The sequence below is a fragment of the Homo sapiens genome, chromosome 16 (assembly GCF_000001405.40).
Source record: "Homo sapiens chromosome 16, GRCh38.p14 Primary Assembly".
Classification (NCBI taxonomy): domain Eukaryota; kingdom Metazoa; phylum Chordata; class Mammalia; order Primates; family Hominidae; genus Homo; species Homo sapiens.
In genome coordinates this window covers 86,328,437-86,348,578 of record NC_000016.10, presented here as the reverse complement: position 1 = coordinate 86,348,578, position 20,142 = coordinate 86,328,437, and the positions used below count along the sequence as shown (strand labels likewise).

Here is a 20,142-nt window from a genome sequence, read left to right as displayed (position 1 = left end):
ATTGGTTGAGCCCATGGATTCCTCTGTTTCTTAGATATCACCATTTTCCTTTCATGCGTGACTGTATAGAACCAGGTACCTGTAAACAGGAGCGTCTGCTCTGGAGCATCCTCTATTCTAATTTCTTAGCATCTCCCATTTGTGGTTTGCCATGAGAAATGAGCTTGTGGCTGTGGGCAGCCTCCCTGGGCTGTCTTCTTCCTGCTCATGTGGGATCAGGCTCGGAGCTGGAGGTCACTGCCTGCAGGGCTCCCCGGGAGAAGCACTGCACAGGATGCTCTGGGGTGATGAAAAGTTCCAGATTGGGCCATCCAGGGTTCCAGTCAGCAGCCATTAGCCACGAGTGGCTGTGCTCTTGAAGGGTGGCTCAGAAGCCTAAGAGCTGCATGTGTATCTTATGTGATCTGAATTGAAGTGTAAGCAGACACCTGTGGTGAGCAGCTTCCGAGGTGGACTGCAGCCCTGGGGAGTATCCCCCTGCTTCCAGGCTGTGCTCCCTGAGCCCCAAAGGTTCCAGCAGGTGCTTTCGGGGTTGCACCTTAGAGGCAGAAGGCAGGAAAGGTCGGTCGGCAGGGCTTTGTGGCCCCACCTTCTACAGAGCACGTGTGTCCTCATCCACGCACCATGCTGTTTGAAGAAAGCTTAGGAAAGGAATGATGAGACCCGTGACTTCAGTCAAGCCTTTGCTGAACATATAAGGAAACAGAGAGGGTCATGAAGTGGAAGGACTCACACAGCCACCCCTCCTTCAGTGGGGAAAGCGAGCCTGGGAACATGCTCAAGCCCCTTTGGGGTGGGGGGTGGGAAGATGGCGACAAGCAGTTCCTTGTGGACCCCGGTCCCTGACCCCACAGAGTGGGGACCCCAAGGGCAGTGAGGGGCAGAGTGAGTTTGTACCAGGCACTGGGACCCCAAGCTCCCTCTCTCTGGCCATGGCTGTGGGGGTCCCCAAGTGGAAGTGGAAGAGGGAAACTGAGGAAAACAAAATGGTCCTGCTTGAGAGAGGGAACATGGGCTGCTTTCTCCTCCCCCACCAGCTAGTCCAGTGAGCCTCATCTGTTCTCACGCTACTAATAAAGACATACCTGAGAATGGGGAATTTATAAAGAAGGAGGTTTAATGGACTCACAGTTCCACATGGCTGGGGAGGCCTCACACTCATGGCAGAGGACAAAGGAGAGGCAAAGGCAGGTCTTACATGGTGGCAGGCAGGAGAGCTTGTGACAGGGAATTCCCATTTAAAAAACCATCAAATCACGTGAGACTTACTCACTACCATGAGAACAGCATGGGGGAAACCACCTCCATGATTCAATGATCTCCACTTGGCCCTGCCCTTGACATGCTGGGATTATTACAATTCAAGGTGAAATTTGGGTGGGGACACAGCCAAACCGTATCAGAGCCTTTGAGATGTGTCGAGGCTGCCACCCCAGCTGAATTCATCAGCAGGACAGGAAGGGGGCTGGGAAGGGCTGTAACTTTCTTGCTCTGTGATCCAAGCTGAGACAGAAATGTTTGTTGAAAGGGGCTGGGGTCAAACAAGCCTGGGTTCAAATCCTGTCCCACCCTTGCTTGTTCTGTGACCTCGGAAGTCAGTTCCCCTCTCTGAGCTTCCTTTGTCTCATCTGTAAAATGGGGACAAAATATAAAATGTAAAAATACAAACCAGGAAGTTGGAAGTCATACACTTTCTGATTTCAAAAGTTACTAGAAAACTATGACAATCAAAACACTGTGGTCCTGACCTACATACAGACAGATAGACCAATGGGACAGAACACAGAGCCCAGAAAGAAGCCCTTTGACTTATTTGACATTCAAGTGTCTTGAGCCAAGACCCTTCAGTGGGGAAAGGGCAGTCTTTTCAAAAAATGGTATTTGGAAAACCAAATACCACACGCAGAAGAATGAAGTTGAGCCCTTCTCTTACACCAGATACAAAAAATTAACTCAAAAAGGATCAAAGGCATTACCATAATAACTAAATGTAAAAAAACTACAAAACTCTTAGAAGAAAACATAGGGGGAAAGCTTCACAATGTTGGACTCGGCAGTGGCTTCTTGGCCACGACACCCAAGAACAGGCAAGAAAAGGAAAAACAATTAAATCCATGCAAACACGTGTGCACAAATGTCCTCAGAGCGCTATTCCTAACAGCCAAATGCTGAGAGCAACGAAAATGTTCATTGACAGGAGAATGGATAAACAAAACGTGGTCCATCCATACAGTGGAATATTATTCAGCCTTAAAAAGGAAGGAAGTTCTGACACCTGCTATGACATGAGTGAGCCTTGAGGATATGGTGCCGAGTGAAACAAACCACTCATAAAAGGACAAACATTGTATAATTCCACAGACATGACTTGCCTAATGTCAGCAAATTCTCAGAGATAGAAAATAGCAGGTGGCGGAGGGCTGCTCAGGGTTACGGGGATGGGGGTGGTGTTTAACAGGGACCTTCCTGAGCTATTTCCTGATAGCAGCTGGGAGCCTTTTGAACAGCCTGCAGCGGGATTCTGGAACAATCTAAACTGGCCATGGCAGTTCCAGGGGCAGGGCTGACTTTGAACTCCAGCAGGAAGTGCAGTGCGAGGCCAGCTCACCCACTTCAGCGTCTCTTTCCTTTGTGTTGTTTAGACCCCCAAAAACACCCCCAAGTCCTGTCTCCCCTTGTGGAGGAAAGGCTGGTGGGAGGAAAGAAGGCTTGTTGAGTATCTACTGCACACCCGGCCCTGGGGCTACGGCTGGAAGCTGGACAGGCCGGGTCCTTGCCCTCCTGAGACCTGCCTTCTAGTGGGGAGAGAGATAGAGACGGAGGAAACAAAACACAGACCAGAGGATTTCAGAGGGTCTGAGGGCTCCGAGGAGAAGGAACACGATGATGTCATAGAGTCATTGTGGGGGAGGGGCCGGCCAGCCAGGGCAGGCAGGGGCGGCCTCTCTGACGAGAAGGAGGCCACTGGGCTGAGGCCAATGAATGGGAAAGAGCCAGCCATGTGGTGAGCTGGGAGAGGGCATCCCAGGCCGTGCGACCTGCGCTTGCAAAGGCCCTGGGGCCGGACAGTTCTTGGCAGAGTCTGAGGTACAGGATGATCCCTGGATGAGCGCCTGAGTGCACGAAGCATGGGTGGAGAGGGTCAGCTCCCAGCGTGGCTGCAGGAGGGGGTCGTGTAATGAATACTAAGTGCCAGTTCTGCAGGATGGAAACAGTTTTGAAATTGGACGGTGGCGATGGTGGTGCGATAATGCGAATGGACCCAATGCCACTGAAATATTCACTTTAAAAAAGTTAAAATGGCAAGGTTTACATTAACTAGACTTTGCCATAATAAAAGAAAAAGGAAAAAATATAATAACTGTGTGAAGTTGAGATGAAATGATGCAACTAATAATTTAGTTTGGTTAGCAAAGAGTAGGCACTCACATAGTTCAATATAACCATCATTATGACGGTACCCTGTCAGTGCTGGGGGATGCTTTATGAGGGAGGTGGAAGACGAGGAGGAGGCGGAGAGAGAAAGAGAATCAGCTTCTGTTATCCACAGCAGGATGCCTCTGGAGTTGTTTGAAGTAGAAAGGTAGTCCATGTGATCCCGTTTATATTGTAATATTGCTTGAGTAGGTCTTTAAAATTACAAAGTACTAGATAGAGCTAACTCAGCCCAGTCCTAATAATCACGACTCCTTGAGTATCTGTGAGGCTTCTGGTACGTTCTCTACAGTCCCAACATTGGGACCGACTGAACCATGTGTTGCACATTAAATCCAGGGTCCGGGACACCTCCCAGGCCACCTCTGTCATTTCACAAGTGCCAGGCCATCTTCTCAGTGCTTGTGAGCATCCCTTCACACTCAATCCTTCCCACACACCTGCCAAAGGGAAGGAGGCAGGAACCACCTACGGATGCCAAGAAACAGGCGGCATGGTCCTCCCGCCCTCGAGGCTGTTACCACCTGGAACACCCCACCCCAAAAGTAAGACCACCTACCATCTGGGCTTCTGTCTCACACAGGATATAGCCTCTCAGTGGCCAACTGTTTTTAATAAGGGTCTGCCAGTTCTAATGATATTGCACAGACACGGGGAAGGGGAGAGAGGAGACAGGACTTTGTCATGAGCTGTTCATCCCTCCAACAGCAGTGCTGGTGTCACGGCTGATGGGCAAAATTCCTACAGATGCCTTCTCTTAGAAACTCACTTCCCTCTGGAACCAGACGCAGGCTTCTCCAGGAAACAGCTCACTACCTGACACAATCCCCAACCCCCCTCTGTCTTCTTTTCCCTTTTGCTTGGGAGAGCGTTTTGGGCCACTGCCAAGAGAGAGAGACCTTAGGCTGCGCACCGAGTCCAGGCATCTATGTTTACTAAGGAACCAAGAGTCCCTCTCTTGAAAAAGAAAGAGAAGAGAATTTTTTTTTCTTTCCTGTGAAAGCCATTGCTGTGGCTAGGGCCATCAGAAGCGTACTCGCTTTATCTAAAGCCCCCAGAGGGCCTGCATAGCCCACTTTGCTTCTCCATGGCATAAGGGAACTCCTCAGGCACCCTGGGCTTTTCCTCTGGCCTGAAACAAACTCCTGCTGTCCATGCAGATCTGGACTGTCACCCAATCCCCTGTCTGCTGAGACCCCTAATAGGATATCTGGCAGTGAGAGACGGCATCTGATCTTATCAGCTTCTTCTCTGGCAAGCCTGGCTCCACCAAAATAACTTTTATCTGGAAATAAAATAATGCAATTAATGTCCTGACTGTCTGATACCCTCTCGAGTGATCTCAGCTCTGATGATTTCATGGGGGGCCCCCTGTCTGCTAATTGCCCAGAGCATTTATTAAGTCAAAGGCATTTGGTTGGAAAACAAAGCCAGTGAGTGAACAAGGATCTTATGCAATGAAATGAATACACAGCACAGGGTTTTTTTTTTTTTTTCGTTTTCTCTTTCTCTATTTGGATCTAAAATGGCTCCGTTCCCCGCACCCCACCCCTTCCCGGGGCAGGAAAAGTGCATGCCCCTCGCAAGCGTCGTGACTGCATTTACGTCACCTAGGAATTTTCTTTTTCTGGCTTACTCTCTGGCATCACCCGGCCGAGAGGCTCCAGGAAAATCGTAAACCCTGTTGAATGGCACCGCAGTAACGGCCAGTCCCATCGCAACATGCTGTGCTTTTTGTCTTGTAATGTCAAAATGAACTTGGCCGGGAACCTGAAGCCGCCAGCTGTGTGCCAGCTTGGCTTTCCGTGTTTCTGATGGGGGGTGGGCTCCAAAGTGGGGAGGACTGAGCAGGCCCCAGCAAGCTCGCTCCGGGACCTTGGGGGGCTCAAATCAGGCTGCCCGGCATGGGATTGTCTCGACGGCTCCGAGAGCCCATCCAGAACCTTCTTATACTCACGTAGGGCTGGTGCAGCGCACACAGGAAGCCCTGGATCCAGATGAACTCAGTCTGCCTGCCTCTGCCAGGAATAGCTGTGTGACCTTCAGGGAAGCAGTTTGTCTCTCTGGGCTTTAGTTTCCTTGTCTGTAAAATGAGGAGAGACTGGAATGGGTTAGGAGTTTTTAGCTCATCTCATCCTGGGACCTTATTTTCTAAGGAAACCTTCCCAAGATGTGTCCTTTGTAAAATAGAAAACAGTTGAGATCTTCTGCTTGAAGCAGACGGCTGGTACCTCAGTCCCAACTGCTAAGTGCTCCTGGCTTCTTTTCCAGGAAGATTCTGGGGGTCAGACCACCAAATGCTCTCTGAGGGGAATTTCAAGCTTGTGCTTCTGTGTTCTACGATTTGCCAAAACCAGCTTCATTCAATCAGTCAATCTGTATCTATTGATCCACCTATATCAAGCTTGTCCAACCCAAGGCTCTAGGGCCACATGTGGCCAAGGAGAGCTTTGAATGTGGCCCAACAGAAATTCCTAAACTTTCTTAAAACATTATGAAATTTTTTGTCATTTTCTTTTTTTAGCTCATCAGCTATGGTGAGTGTTAGTGTATTTTAGGTATGGCCCAAGACAATTCTTCTCCTTTCCATGTGGCCCAGCCAGAGAAGCCAAAAGAGGACACCCCTGATGTATATCTCCTACCTAGATATCAACTAGGCTTGCCCTTATTTATCGCCAAACTTCAACATGTCTGAGAGTCCCCCAGAGACTTGTTCAAACATGGACTTCCGGGCCCCACCTCTGCAGTTTCTGATTGATTGGGGTCTGGGCTGTGGATTTCTAGCAAACTCCCAGATGAGACCGATGCTGTGGTTCCAGCTCACCCCCTGGGGATCCCCAAATCCTCTTCCATATTTGCTCACAGAGAGGGTTTCTTCACCTTGATTTTAGATATTTGAGCAGAAACTAAAGTGTGAAGGACAAGAACGGTGCTCTCTATTTCCGACATGCACAGAGAGGAATAGTCAGAAGGGATTGTGTCCAGTTTTGAAGGCTCTGTGCTGCCCTTTGGGGCCCAAAAGCATTTGCGTCATGGGATACTTGCATTTACTAAACTAATCTTTTCTCTTACAATTAGGGCATAAAAGTCTGACTAGTTGTAGTTAATCTGATTAACACACCCTACAGCCCAGTTCCATCCCATCCTGGGTGAGCAGCTAGTGGAATTCTCACACATCCATAAGGGACATGTGCCTCCATGTCCCTCATGGTGTCGTTTATGATGGTGAGAGCTGAGGAGCTTACCACTGGGACAGTGGACAGTACAGCGTGGGGCGCCCCCCATGGAGTGAGGGGTGCCAGCTAGGGACAGTGCATATGGACCCAATACAGTGGGTGTGTCTTAATACCTTGCTGAGGGTTGGGGTGGGGTGGGGAGGGGAGAAAAATAGAACGAAATATCTAACACAAGACCATTTATGCAAATTGTTTCCACACTAAGAGCACCCTTTAGACCCGTTGGAACCGTTGCCCACAGGCAGAGAAGGAATGGGAGTAGGAAACCCTCAGGAGGGGGCTGGAGAAATAAAACGAGAGAGGGGTTCCGTCGGGCCAGGGACGAAAATGGTGCACCAGCAGCCGAGGGCTGCCGTTTGTTGGCCGTCTGCACCTGAGGTAAGAAACCAGCACAGAAAAAGTGGAAAAATTAAAATGTGCGTCTTGGGCATCCACAGACAGCACTAACGACTTCTTTCCCTCCAGCCTCTTTACCTTTGTTAACCTCACATTGCCTGTTCTCATCACAGCAGGACAACTAAGCCCTGGCTCCGTCCTGGCGCCCGCGCTCCCTGTGTGTCCACAGTGGCCGGGGAACTTGGGGGCATGGCCAGTGGAAAATTAGAGAAAAGAATGACTCATCTAGGTTCCTTTTTCCTTTGTTCTCATTCCCCTCATGATCAGGGATGACTGTGGCTAATTTCCTTTGTGCGGTTTTAGGGCAAAGTCGGTTTGTAGTGAACTCACGCACGGTTCACGGACCTGGCTACATCAGTTGCAATCAAGGCACTTGTTTAAAAAACCAACACAACCACTAAATTCCCAGGGTCCACTCCATACCAGATTCTCTGGGACGGGGGTTAAAGAATCTGCAGGTGTGTGTGTGTGTGTGTGTGTGTGTGTGTGTGTGTGTGTGTGTGTGAAGTTTCCTTAAGTTTTCCAGGTGTTGGGGATGAAACCCAAGTGGGAGCTGGGCTTGTGCCCCCAACCTGTGCACTCTGCAGGTGCTGAGATGGGGCTCCCCTGCGCCCCCTGGTGGTGAGGACGAGGGGCGCGCCGCTCTCCCGGATGGGAGAGCCCAGCCTGGGGGCAGGTAGGAGCCCCACAGAAACCAGGTCTGCCATGACACCAGCTGGATGGGGCGAAACCACCACTCCACTGCAAGAACATTCGAGACCTTGTTTTTTTTTTATGCCGCCGTGTATTTCACTGCCACAGGCATTATCTCCTTCAATCTCATTTGTCTTCCACTGGTGCCTTTCCAGAGTCCCGAGGAGTGATTTTTATGGTGGAATTTAAGCCCCGTGTCAGGATATTAGGGAGATGCTTTGCGGGAGACACTGTTTCTCCCTTTCCCTCACATCTGTTCAAGCCTATGCTCAGGCCAAGTTCCCTGATCCCACATCACTGCGCAGAGGCCTCCCTGGTGAGGCCTAAGAAACAGGACAGTGATTGTGCCGACATCTTGGCTAATGGGAAGGCACCAGTGCTCCATGGGAGAGAGGCTTCTAAACGTCTTGTCGCAGGGGCTAGATCACTACTACGTTGTTTGTTATGTCCAAAAATATGCAGAGACTCCACATGAGCCAGGGCAGTGCTGGGGGCAGGTATTCACCCATGGGTGAGCAGACATGGCCCTGCCCTCCGGAAGCTTAGAGTCTACTGGGGAAATGGTCAAATAACCACACAAACAGATCATTAGAATTGGAAGGTCTGATGAAGTTTAATCTGAGACCTGAAGGTGAGGAGCTGGCTACAGTGATAGCTGGGAAAAGAGCACCTGGGAGGGAATAGCATATTTGAAGGCCCTGTGGCAGGCCTTCAAGTGGAGTGTGGCTGCAGCAGAGGCTGGAGAGGGAGGTGGGGCCAGGCCAGCATGGCTCAGAGTCCACAAGGAGGACCGGAGATCTGCTCTGTGAGCCCCAGGGTCATTGGAGGGGACTCAGTGGGGAGTGGCGTAATCCCATTTGTACTATTCTTTTTCCTGATCTAATAAATGCACGTGGTTAAGAAAGATCAAATAATCCTCAACAGCCTTTCATGGAAAACACACTGTCGATGGGAATGTAAATTAGTGCAGCCGCTGTGGAAAGCAGTTTGGAGATTTCTCAGAGAACTCAGAACTTCCATGTGAACCAGCAATTCCATCACTGGGTATAGACAGGAATAGACACACATGCATGTGTGTGTTCATCGTGGCACTATTGACAATAACAAAGACGTGGAATCAACCTAAACGCCTATTGACAGTAGACTACAGAAAATGTGGTATACACGCACTGTGGAATACTATGCCACCATAACAAGAATGAGATCATGTCCTTTGCTGCAACACGGGTGCAGGTGGAGGCCATTAGCCTCAGCAAAGTAACACAGGAACGGAAAATTAAATACAGCATGTTCTCACGTATAAGCGGGAGTTAATGATGAGAACATATGGACCCACAGAGGGGAACAACAGACACTGGGCCTCCTCAAGGGTGGCGGGTAGGAGGAGGGTGAGGATGGACACACTGCCTAGCAGGTACTATGCTGATTACCTGGGTGAAGAAATAATCGCACACCAGCCCCCTGCGACATGCACTTCACCCACATAACAAACCTGCACATGCACCCTCTGAACCTAAAATAAAAGTTGGGAAGAAAATGAAAACACCGGCTTCCTGCTTTACTCCTCCCCATGCCCAGTGCCACTCTCCAGAGCAACTATTTTGGGTTTTTTTGTTTTTGTCTGTTGGTCCTCAACTGTGTATTTTCACTCTCCTCATTAAAGTAGAGAATATTTGTCATCATTAAATGAATGAATGAATGGACTCCCACCCAAAACCCACCTGGGCAAGCTCAGGAAGAATGTCTGGAGGCCTGGAAGACTGGGGGCAGCCAGCAGCCTCCCTGCTGAGCGGTTCCAAGCACTGCCCATTGGCATGTGGGAAAGGGCACCTGGTGTATAAGTAGGAGCGCTGCCACCTCTTGGGGGCTGAATGCCAGAGGGGCAGAGGGAGCTGTGGGTCCCATGAGGTCTGGTGTCTGAAGCCCATGCTGGGACAGGTGGGCTGTGCCAGGTGAGGTGGTTCAGGTCCTACCCTCTCTTTGCAGGGCTTGAGTCTGGGGGAGCCTGGCTGCCCAGAGGTGGCAGATGACATGAAGAAATAACCATGTAAGGGCTGGCTGTGTATGAGGTAAGGAGAAAGGAGATGGGGTTGGGGAGGAGGGGGACTCAGAGGAGGGAGGGAATGGAAGAGCAAACATCATGGCTTCCTCGTCTAGAGCAAGCATTGGGAAGGATGAATGCCAACTATGTTCCAGGAACTTCCACTGTTCTCACACACCCAGGTGAGTGGTGTTCAGGTGGGTGGCACCCAGGTGAGTGACATCCCAGTTGAGTGGCACCCAGGTGAGTAGCATCCAGGTGAGTGACACCTAGGTGAGTGACATTCAGGTTAGTGGCGTCTGTGTGAGTGGCATCATCCAGGTGAGTAGCTTCCAGGTGAGTGGCACCCAGGTGAGTGGCATTCGGGTGAGTGGCATTATCCAGGTGACACCTGGGTGAGTGGCATCCAGGTGAGTGATATCATCCAGGTAAGTGGCACCTAGGTGACATCCAGGTGAGTGACGACATCCAGGTGAGTGACATCATCCAGGTAAATGGCACCCAGGTGAGTAGCATTCAGGTGAGTGACACCCAGGCGAGTGGCATCCACGTGACTAGCATTGTCCAGGTGCATAACACCCAGGTGAGTGGCACCCAGTTGAGTGGTGCCCAAGTGAGTCACATCCAGGTAAGTGGGGTCCAGGTGGTGGCACCCAGGCGAGTGGTGCCCAGGTGAGTGACAGCCAGGTGAATGGTGTCCAGGTGAGTGGCATCACCCAGGTGAATGGTGTCCAGGTGAGTGGCATCCAGGTAAGTGGTGTCCAGGTGGTGGCACCCAGGTGAGTGGTGTCCAGGTGAGGGGCATCACCCAGGTGAATGGTGTCCAGGTGAGTGGCATCCAGGTGGGTGGTACCGTCGACGTGACAATAGCTAAAAATTATTGGGCTCATTGTGGACAGGCACTGTGCCGAGCTTGACATCACTGAACTCAGTTCATCCTCGCCAGGAGCTTGTGGGCCGTCCCTAGATCAGAATCCGAGGAGAAAGGACTTCCACACGGCAGCCAGCGAGCTGGAGGGCGGCCTCCTGCCACCACCAGGCTCCCTAACCCAGTCCTGGATATCTGTGAAAGAATGAGTGGATCCCCACAGGCCAGGTGGGCGGGGACGGAGGGCTATTGTTTCCTGGGACAAACGTGTGTGGGGAGCTGAGTGTTTCTCCTTTCTCAGCCCTGACTTCCCACAGCTATCCCCAAACACACTCGTTTACACTGAAGCACCAGGAGATCAGAACCTTCTGGAATCTTAATATGCGAGGACTCGGTGGAGAAGGCGGCACTGAAGAAGAGTCGTCCCTAGGCCAGGCTGGAGGGAAACTCAAGACGGCGGCCTGGCCCTCCTGGGTGGCGGAAGTGGGAGCAGCAGGAGCCCTGGCGGATCCGGGAGGCCAGAAGAGCGGAAGCTTCCTCCCCTCTCAGGTGCGTCTCAGCCTCTGCTGGCAGCGCTGTGCCCCACTCCCCGCCCCTGCATCTCCTAGCTCAGGAAATGAGCCCCCGGGTGTCACCCCCTGAATCTCCCAGCACGGCCTTAAGGCCCGCACAACCTTCAGTGTCTGGGGTCAGCCTGCAGCGGGTCAGGGGTTTGCTTCCTGCAGCCCAGGCTGAACCCCCTCTGCGTGGGGATGAGGAGGCTGAGCCCCCTCTGCGTGGGGATGAGGAGGCTGAGCCCTCTCTGCGTGGGGATGAGGAGGCTGAACCCTCTCTGCGTGGGGATGAGGAGGCTGAACCCTCTCTGCGTAGGGATCAAGGGGCTGAACCCTCTCTGCGTGGGACTGAGGAGGCTGAGCCCTCTCTGCGTGCGGATGAGGAGGCTGAGCCCTCTCTGCGTGGGGATGAGGAGGCTGAACCCCCTCTGCGTGGGGATGAGGAGGCTGAACCCCCTCTGCGTGGGGATGAGGAGGCTGAACCCCCTCTGCGTGGGGATGAGGAGGCTGAGCCCTCTCTGCGTGGGGATGAGGAGGCTGAGCCCTCTCTGCGTGGGGATGAGGAGGCTGAACCCCCTCTGCGTGGGGATGAGGAGGCTGAGCCCTCTCTGCGTGGGGATGAGGAGGCTGAGCCCCCTCTGCGTAGGGATCAAGGGGCTGAACCCTCTCTGCGTGGGACTGAGGAGGCTGAGCCCTCTCTGCGTGCGGATGAGGAGGTTGAACCCCCTCTGCGTGGGGATGAGGAGGCCGACCCCTCTCTGCGTGGGGATGAGGAGACCGAACCCTCTCTGCGTGGGGATGAAGGGGCTGAGCCCTCTCTGCGTGGGGATGAAGGGGCTGAGCACTCTTTGCGTGGGGATGAGGAGGCTGACTCCCCTGTTGCTGTTCCCTGTGGCTTGGGGGCCCAGGCTCCCCATGGAGGCCGAGGGCTTCCAGCCCAGCGGAGACTGGAATAGGTTCTGCTGTCCCCACAGGAGGAAGCAGACAGAAGATGAAAAGGGGTGGGAGACAGGCAGGGGAAGGGAAGGGAGAGAAAGAGGGAAAGCACAGAGCAGAAGGAGACCGGGAGGGAGGGACCCTGTGCTCAGATCCTACTCAAAGTTTGCAGACAACTCACTGCCGTCCACCCTTCCCTGAAAAGCTTTGCAAAGATGAGGGGGTTGGCTGGTTTCAGAGTAGAGGTTTATGAGGAAAGGGTGATAAAGGCTTTAACAGTCACCAGGTCCCAGGGTGTTCGCCCTTCATAAGCCTGTGTGCTGGGAGGGATGGCAAGTGGGCCAGAGGCCCTTTTGTCTCGGGAACACAGGCCCTTGGAAGTCTAGCAGGAAAAGGCGGCTCCCAGGAGACCATCTATTCACATTCATCGGAAATGGCAGCCACTGGCCCAGAGGCCGGGGAGGGTGGGTGGAGGGAGCAAGGGGCGGGGCAAGGATGAATCATTCATTCATTCATTCATTCATTAGGCCAGCAAATATTTCTTTAGCAGCTACAGTGCATTCCAGGCCCTGGTCTCTATGCGGGAGAAGCCAGCAAAGACCCTGTCCTCAGGAAGCTTCCATTTCAGTGCGGGAGGACCCACAATCCATGAGGCCCCGGGCCTGCGGGTGTCAAGTCCTGCGAAGGAAAATAAGGCAGGGAAACAGGCTGGAGACTGCGGGTGCTGCGTGATGTTGTTTAGGTAGGGCCTGAAGGGAGGGAGGGGTGGCCACTACTGGATCCCCAGATCTCCGCACTCCTGCAGAGACAAGAGGAGCCAGTGCAGAGATGGTGCCGTGGCCAGAGGTGCAGGGGCCATCCAGGGGCAGGCAGGAGGCCGGAGTGGACGCAGCGAGGGGGAGGGGCAGGTGGGATTGGCTCGGGGAGGCCTTGGGCCCTGTTAAGAGCCTCAGATTACACCTGGCTGAGTTGGAAGCTGTTGGAGGGTTCGGAGCAGGGCCGAGATGGGACCCAACTCAGGTGTTAAAGAATCACATTGGCTGCTGTGTTAGAACTGACCAGTGGCAGGCCAGGCGCTAGCAGGGAGGCGCGTTCTGGGCTACTGTGATGACCCAGGTGACAGAGGGTGGCACCAGGACCTGCACAGAAAGTAGAGAAGGTGGTAAAAAATAAATATACAAAGTATGCAAATATATGTATAGATATGTAATTACATATTAATTATATATAAAATCTAACATATGTATATTAATTATATAAAAAATTATATATGTAATTTGCAGAGAAACTTATTTTGTATTCCTTCCTAGACAGGGATCCTTGGGAGATACAGGTTTGTCCATTTTGGCCGAGAAAGAACAGCCCCTGACCCATAGCAATCCTCTTTCAGTAACTGTTGAAGAAACAAAAGCCATTTCTTAGCAGGAAGCTGAGACCCCAGAGGCTGAAATTTCACTCAGACCCAGGAGAGCCAGAGTCCGGAGAATCCCCCTGGTCTCCGCCCCTCAATCCCAAAGTGAGGGTCTTTCTCAGGGTCCCTGGAAGAGCTGGTGGGAAAGCGGTTTATGAGTTTCTGAGTGCCGTCCCTTGCTCTGGGCAATGTCCTCTGAGATAAGAGACTCTTAAAATGGAAAGGACAAGCCACTCAAGGCTCTCCTCCCGAAGAGATGGGAACCATCCCTTCCCCATCCCCGTCTTCCCTCCTCCCAGGCCCCCTCTGACCCAGGCCCCCTCTGTACCGGTTCCCCCGCTGTGTGCACCCAGCCTCCTCACAGTGGCCTTCACTGAGCCCCACCCTGGGTTAGGGGCAGTCAGGCCCTGGGAATTCACAGAAGATAAGGCGGTCCCTGCCCTGCTCATCCCAGCCCAGGAGTCTGGCAGACTCATCAAGTGAAACCATTTTCTGTGCCTTCTGCCTCTGTTTTGGGAACTTAATATGCATCATGATAAAAGTGACTGTGATAGCAAAACACCCTTTAAAACACCCTTTAAAGATTGCATGTTGAAATACAACAAAAATACAGACAAGTATGCAAATCACAGGCATGCAGCTTAGTGAATTTTTGTGAAATCATCCCTGCCCTGGAGCCAGCCCCTCAGCCCAGAGGCTCCGGTGCCCCTCCTGGCTGCCACTCCCACCTCCTGATAACGCCTGTGACGCCCCAGCCAATGAGGGAGGCAGAACTACTACGAGTGGTGTGGAATAACAGATTTATGACAGGGATTTAGACCCTCCGCAATTGTGGGAGGAACTAGGGGGGTTCAGAAGCAAGTTCCTCCCCAAGGAGGCTTCCAGAAACATCAGTGAGTGCAGCTTGCAGGGAAATCCAGAAAGCCGGCTGGCACGTGGAGAATGGGGACGGGAGGCAGTGGAGGGGTCTGCGGGGCACAGCTGCTTCTGTGACTGGTGGTCCCTGGGTCACTGGTGGTCAGTGAGGCTTACAGTTGGGGAGACAGGGAGAACAAGAGCAAGTTGTCATCAATCAGCACCTCCTTGCCTGTCTCTCCCCAGGACAGCCACAAGGACTTTCGGGGGTCGTGGCAGCTGCTCCACTTCCAACTTCCAGATCCCTCTCACTTTCCTCTTCCCACCAACTCCAACCTGGGACCAAGCAGGGGAAAGCAGCTGCAGCCCAGCTTGACGCCCCTGCAAATGGAGACCTGTGCACCTGGTTGTGAGCATTTTAAAGGGTGTCACACAGGGCATACCCTTCGGTGCCTGGATTCCTTTGGTAAGTGTTATATTAGGGAGACGCACCCTTGCTGTTGTGTGTGGCAAGATTTGTGCATTCTCATTTTTCCATGATATTCCTCTGCATACCTATCCCATAATTCACTGATCCATCCTAGTGTTGAAAAGCATTGAAGGAGTTTCTGGTCATTGGCTGTTACAAACAGTGATGCCCGAATGCTCTGGTGATGGTCCTTTTGTGGACGTGGACACATTTTTCTTGCAATTGTGCCTAAATGTGGAATCTCCAGGTGGGAGGCTGTGCTCATATTCAGCTTCAGTAGAGAGTTCGTGTCCCATGGGAGCTGCACCCCCGATTATGTTTCCTGTTGCAAGCCCTTTTTACTCCTGGTCTTGGGTTCAAATGTTGATTCCCTTCCTTTCTAGCCATTTGACCTGGAACCATCTAGGTAACCATGCAGAGCAACAATTTCCTGCTTATCTGTAAAATAGGGATAAGAATAGTACCTCCCACCCGGGTCCCTGTAAGGAAATGCGGCAGTCCAGGAAAATTGCTTAGAATAGTGACTGTCACGTACAAATTCTCAACATATTAGGTGTTATTACTCTTTTTATTTATAATAATAATGATGGCCTTATCAAATTATTTGGAGGCAATCTGACTTTATCTGTAATTTGCATAGATGAAAGGGCAAAGCCTTGAACCTAAGTCATCTTCGAGTCCTCAGCACTTCACCCAGAGCCTGGCACACAGTAGGAGCACAGAAAGGTTTGTTGCATGGAATTAAGCACTCACGCTGGAGAGTGGATGTTCTTTGCTCAGTGCACTCAATCCCTCCCACAGCACAGCACACACCACAAGGATCGTGCCCCACAGACACATGGGGAAGACTGGGTGCAGAGTCTTAATCTTGACTCCCGTTTGCTGAGGCTCTCAATGTCTCAGGAAACCCTTAGATAACCTCATTTAATCCTCACAACAACCCGGCAAGGTGGGCTATGGACCCCCGGTTGATGGATGACGAACCCCCCCATCCCCTGTCCCCCAGGTTTACATCCAGCAGGAGTTGGCCCTGAGCTCTGAGTCCAGATCATTGCTCTTGGCTGAAGCAGCCTGTCTACTCACAAAGATGAGCATGGTCCCTGCCACGAGGAAACTCGTGGTCCTGTGGACTGCGGTGTGGAGGGAAAGCTTGGGATTCTGAGCCTGATAATGCACCATTACATCCCCACTCACTCGGGCTGTGTGAACCCAGCAAGTCACAGGATCACTGGGTGGTGAAAGAAAGAAACACTCACAGAAGCGTCTGTGCTTGGAGAGCCATCTGGTCCGTCATTGTGACTGCTGCTCTCATTGCTATCATGGGTGTCACCATTGCCATCACTCAAGGACTTCTCTCCAGGCCCCGAAGCCAAGCTGGTGCCTGGTTCCTCTGGGTTGGGAGAGGGGCTGGGCATGGACAGGAGGAGGGAAAAGGGACCTGTGCTAGCAGGTGATGCCATCCAAGACATCTGCATCCTAATCCCTGGAACCTGGGATTCCACTAGGTGCCATGGCAAAGAGGGATTAAGGTGGCAGGTGGAGTGAAGGTTGCTAATCAGCCGACCTTAAAGTAGGGAGATGATCCTGAATGAGACAAAAGAGAGAACCAGTCATGGTGTCATGAGAAGGACTCAAAATGCAACTGCTGACTTTGAAGATTAAGGGGCTACAAACCAAGGAACGTGGTAGTCTCTGGAAAAGACAAGGAATAGACGCTGCGTTGGGGCCACCAGAAGGAACCAGCCCTGTCAACACCCTAATTTTAGCCCAGTGAGGCCTGTGCTGGACTTCTGACCTCCAGAACTGTAAACTAATAAATGTGTGTTGTTTCTGCCACTAGATTTGTGGGAATTTGTTAGGGCAGGCATAAGAAACTGATACTGTGGTATTCCCTGCTGTGTCCCCAGGACCTCGTGGCCAGTAGGCTCACAAAAAATATCTATTTAATGGACAAACATCGTGAAGGAAATGCTTTTCTGTGAGCCTACCGTGTGCCAGTTTTTTGACACTGTGTGAGTTGTCAGATTCAGCAAATAAAAATACAGAATGCCCAGGTAGAGTTGAATTTTAGATAAACAACACACCACATTTATAAAAGTATGTTTCATGCTATTGTAAGAAACGTTTATTATTACTTGAAATGCAGATGTACCTGGGCGTCCTTATTTCGTCAGGCAACCCGTGCGGTCCCTTCCCAGATAACCCAGCAAGCCTCAATCCGTAGCCAGAAGGGAGAGCGGAAGTTCGACAGCAGACCCCATGCCCTTGCTTCCGCCCTGATGCACCCTGCAACTTCCCAAAGTGGTGGGTAATGAGCCAAACACCTCATCAAAGGGTCCTCCATGGGACAGGCAGGATGCACCACCTCCCATCAGGTCCCTAGATGCTTGGAGGAAGCACATTTGAGGGGCATCTTCCTTGAGCTAAAGCTGAGACCATCCGATCTCTGATGATTCTACGGGGCAAAGCCCTCTCCGCTCCTTCCAGAGGAACGGAAAGGATTCAAGTGGGATCCACGGTCAGATAGCGAGGGCCTGGGGCAGGCCTTGGTCGCGGGTGTCTTCCTGCGGAGTCGGCATTCCCCTGAGCGAGGGCCTGAGGAAATCTGCTAAGGAAGCAAGAGGCCAAGGGAAGTCCTTCCTTCAGAGGGTGGGAGTGCTCGCGGGAGGGAAAGCCACCAGCATGCAACATGAGACAGAATCTTGCCTTCCTATTTCAGGGAAAATGCTACAAAAATAGGGTCCATGTGGAATTCTCTTTCCCCTACGGCACTCTGCTGGAGGAGGGGCTGGTCAGTTCCTGAGGTTCAGCGACCCCCTGGCTTGGATGGACTTTCGCAAACACCTCCAGGAAATACCTTATCAAATATGGTCGCATGCATGCACTGGCACACAAAAATAACCTCGGAAAAAAGCACCGAGAATGGGATTGAACTTGCTTTGGCAAAGGTCTTTACGTGTATTGTTATTAGTGGAGTCTCCAACCCACCTCAGATTTTTTCCAAGGAAATTAAAATGCAAGATATCAAGGGATTTGCCCAAGGTCACGGCGCACAATAGACACTGCCCCAGTCTTCCAGTTTCCAGGCAATTGCTCGCTCTGAGAAGTGGGTTGGCCTCTCCTTCCAAACTTTATTTTTTTGTACTATTTGTATTATTCTTATTTTTTGAGAATTATTAATTTTTGAGAATATTATTATATTCTATTGCCCAGGCTGGAGTGCAATGGCACGATCTCAGCTCACTGCAACCTCCGCCTCCCAAGTTCAAGTGATTCTCCTGCCTCAGCCTCCCAAGTAGCTGGAATTACAAGCACCCACCACCATGCCTGGCTAATTTTTGTATTTTGGGTAGAGACAGGGTTTCACTATGTTGGCCAGGCTGGTCTCGAACTCGTGACCTCAAGAGATCCACCTGCCTCAACCTCCCAAAGTGCTGGGATTACAGATGTGAGCCACCGCCCCCGACCCAAACTTTAAATATAGTAAACATTTGAAGCCCCCTCCTCCCAGCCTTCCATTCAGGTCACCTGACCCAGGCACAATGATTCTGACATGATGCCAATTTCAAACACTATTTTGCTTTTTGTGAGCTCTACTGCACATATGATCTTCTTGGAGTTGGACAAGTTAAATTTGAATCTTTGCCCAATGAGCAAGGTGAGGGCCAGCAGCGAACTGTCTAGCTTCTGGACAGAAATGGCATGGTGGTGAAGTCAAATTGGGAAATTTGAAGAGAGTTGGACAAAAGACCGTGTACAAAGTTGTGAGTGAGGTATGTGAATGGTAATGCCCAGTTCAGCCCCTTACAGGTGGCATATGGGGACGGGTTCTACCACTGGGCATGAAGAAGGGAAAGAAGGAAGGACTGAAGCTTAGCAGGAGGGACTGCTGAGCCAGAGATGGGGCACAGATGGGGGACTCCACAGGGAGGGGGCTGGGAAGATGGTGCCACAGACAGCTCTACTCCTGCCTCGAATGATCCCCTAATCACTGCTCTTAAGTTACAGAGTAGGTTGCAAGCGGAGAATACCCATCACATTGGTCTTCCCCAGAAACCATTCTTTGTCCCATTTATTCAGCAAACATTTCCTGAGCATCTATCTATAAAGTGCCTGCCAAGATAAAGTTGGAACTTTCACCTTGACCTTCACCTGAAATGATGTTCCAAAACTATAAACCACAGTGCCATTTGTGACATTTTCCCATTATATTGAAATGAGGGAAATCATGGTCCTATGGGGCAATATTTTCACAAAAGCTAATGAAATTCAAATGCACAAGAAGGGCTCAGGGCAAGAAATCCAGGGCGAGGAGAATGAGAGCCTAAAGAATTTTACATTCAGAGGGAGATTGAATTTTATCTATGGAGCTGTAATTATTTTAAGCATCGAAGAGAATTGATCCAGAAGTAAGAAATTTACCTAATGTAGGATCTTGGCTCTTCCATCTGTTAGTCTATTCCAGGATGCCTTTGCTTTGGATAATTTTATTACCCATCTCACAGACATTGCTTCCTGAGAAGATGTCCTATTTCTATTAGATACTCATGCTCTCGGTTTGCTATGGGTGTACTCATTTCAATAACAAGAACAACGAAACAAAATGGAACAAATGTCTGTATTCATCAAACTGTCTTTCTCTTTTACTTTCAAAATTACTGAAAATTTATTCTGTATTTTCTGAGTCAAGTTCTCCGCATTGCATTTACCCTCCTACTTTATGAGAACACTGGAGGCAACTTCTGTAGGGACCACGGGGACAATAATAATATCTGGATGATGGACACCCATAGATCAAATGCAGTGAGTGGTTTTCCATGCTACAAACACCCTGACGGCATAGAATAATATTACAGAGTTCAACTGAGGCAAATGTAATACTGGTTTCCTCAGGACCTTCCTGAATTACGGCTGCGGTCCCGGCACACTCATCACAGTGGGCCCTTTACTTGAAAAATGTCTCACTTTGATGATAAATTATAAGATAACCTTAGCTATACATTGCTTATTTTACTAAATCACGTATTTTAAAGTAAATACTATGTCACTTATTTTATTTATTTATTTAATGAGATGGAGTTTTACTCTTGTTGCCCAGGCTGAAGTGCGGTGGCATGATCTTGGCTCACTGCAGCCTCATGCCCCAAATCCCCACAACATGCTTTCAATGCTTGCTTTCAATTTGGAAACCTCCATCAACAAAAAGAGGTAGAAACCACACAAAGACAGGGGGCTTACCAGCCAGTGA

General features: G+C 50.8%; 1 long non-coding RNA gene across 1 annotated transcript, besides 3 other annotated features; it reads left to right on the top strand.

The window, feature by feature from the left end:
* The first annotated feature begins 2,899 nt into the window (after positions 1-2,899).
* On the top strand, positions 2,900-16,729 carry LINC00917 (long intergenic non-protein coding RNA 917). The gene is made up of 7 exons (NR_024406.1): positions 2,900-3,087; positions 9,747-9,829; positions 9,918-10,897; positions 10,987-11,218; positions 14,672-14,891; positions 15,535-15,620; positions 15,901-16,729. It is a non-coding gene; the product is annotated as a long intergenic non-protein coding RNA 917 (long non-coding RNA).
* Positions 10,306-11,237: an enhancer, noted in NCBI's record as "H3K4me1 hESC enhancer chr16:86370948-86371879 (GRCh37/hg19 assembly coordinates)". NCBI's record gives its function as "activates a minimal SCP1, AML or CMV promoter by ChIP-STARR-seq in naive H9 embryonic stem cells {active_cell/tissue: H9 hESC(naive)}" and the evidence as "EXISTENCE:reporter gene assay evidence [ECO:0000049][PMID:30033119]".
* Positions 10,306-11,356: a biological region, named in NCBI's record as "Sharpr-MPRA regulatory region 8769".
* Positions 11,062-11,356: a silencer, noted in NCBI's record as "tiled region #8769; K562 Repressive non-DNase unmatched - State 22:ReprW". NCBI's record gives its function as "represses a minimal TATA promoter and a strong SV40 promoter by Sharpr-MPRA in K562 cells {active_cell/tissue: K562}" and the evidence as "EXISTENCE:reporter gene assay evidence [ECO:0000049][PMID:27701403]".
* Positions 16,730-20,142: the final 3,413 nt, after the last annotated feature.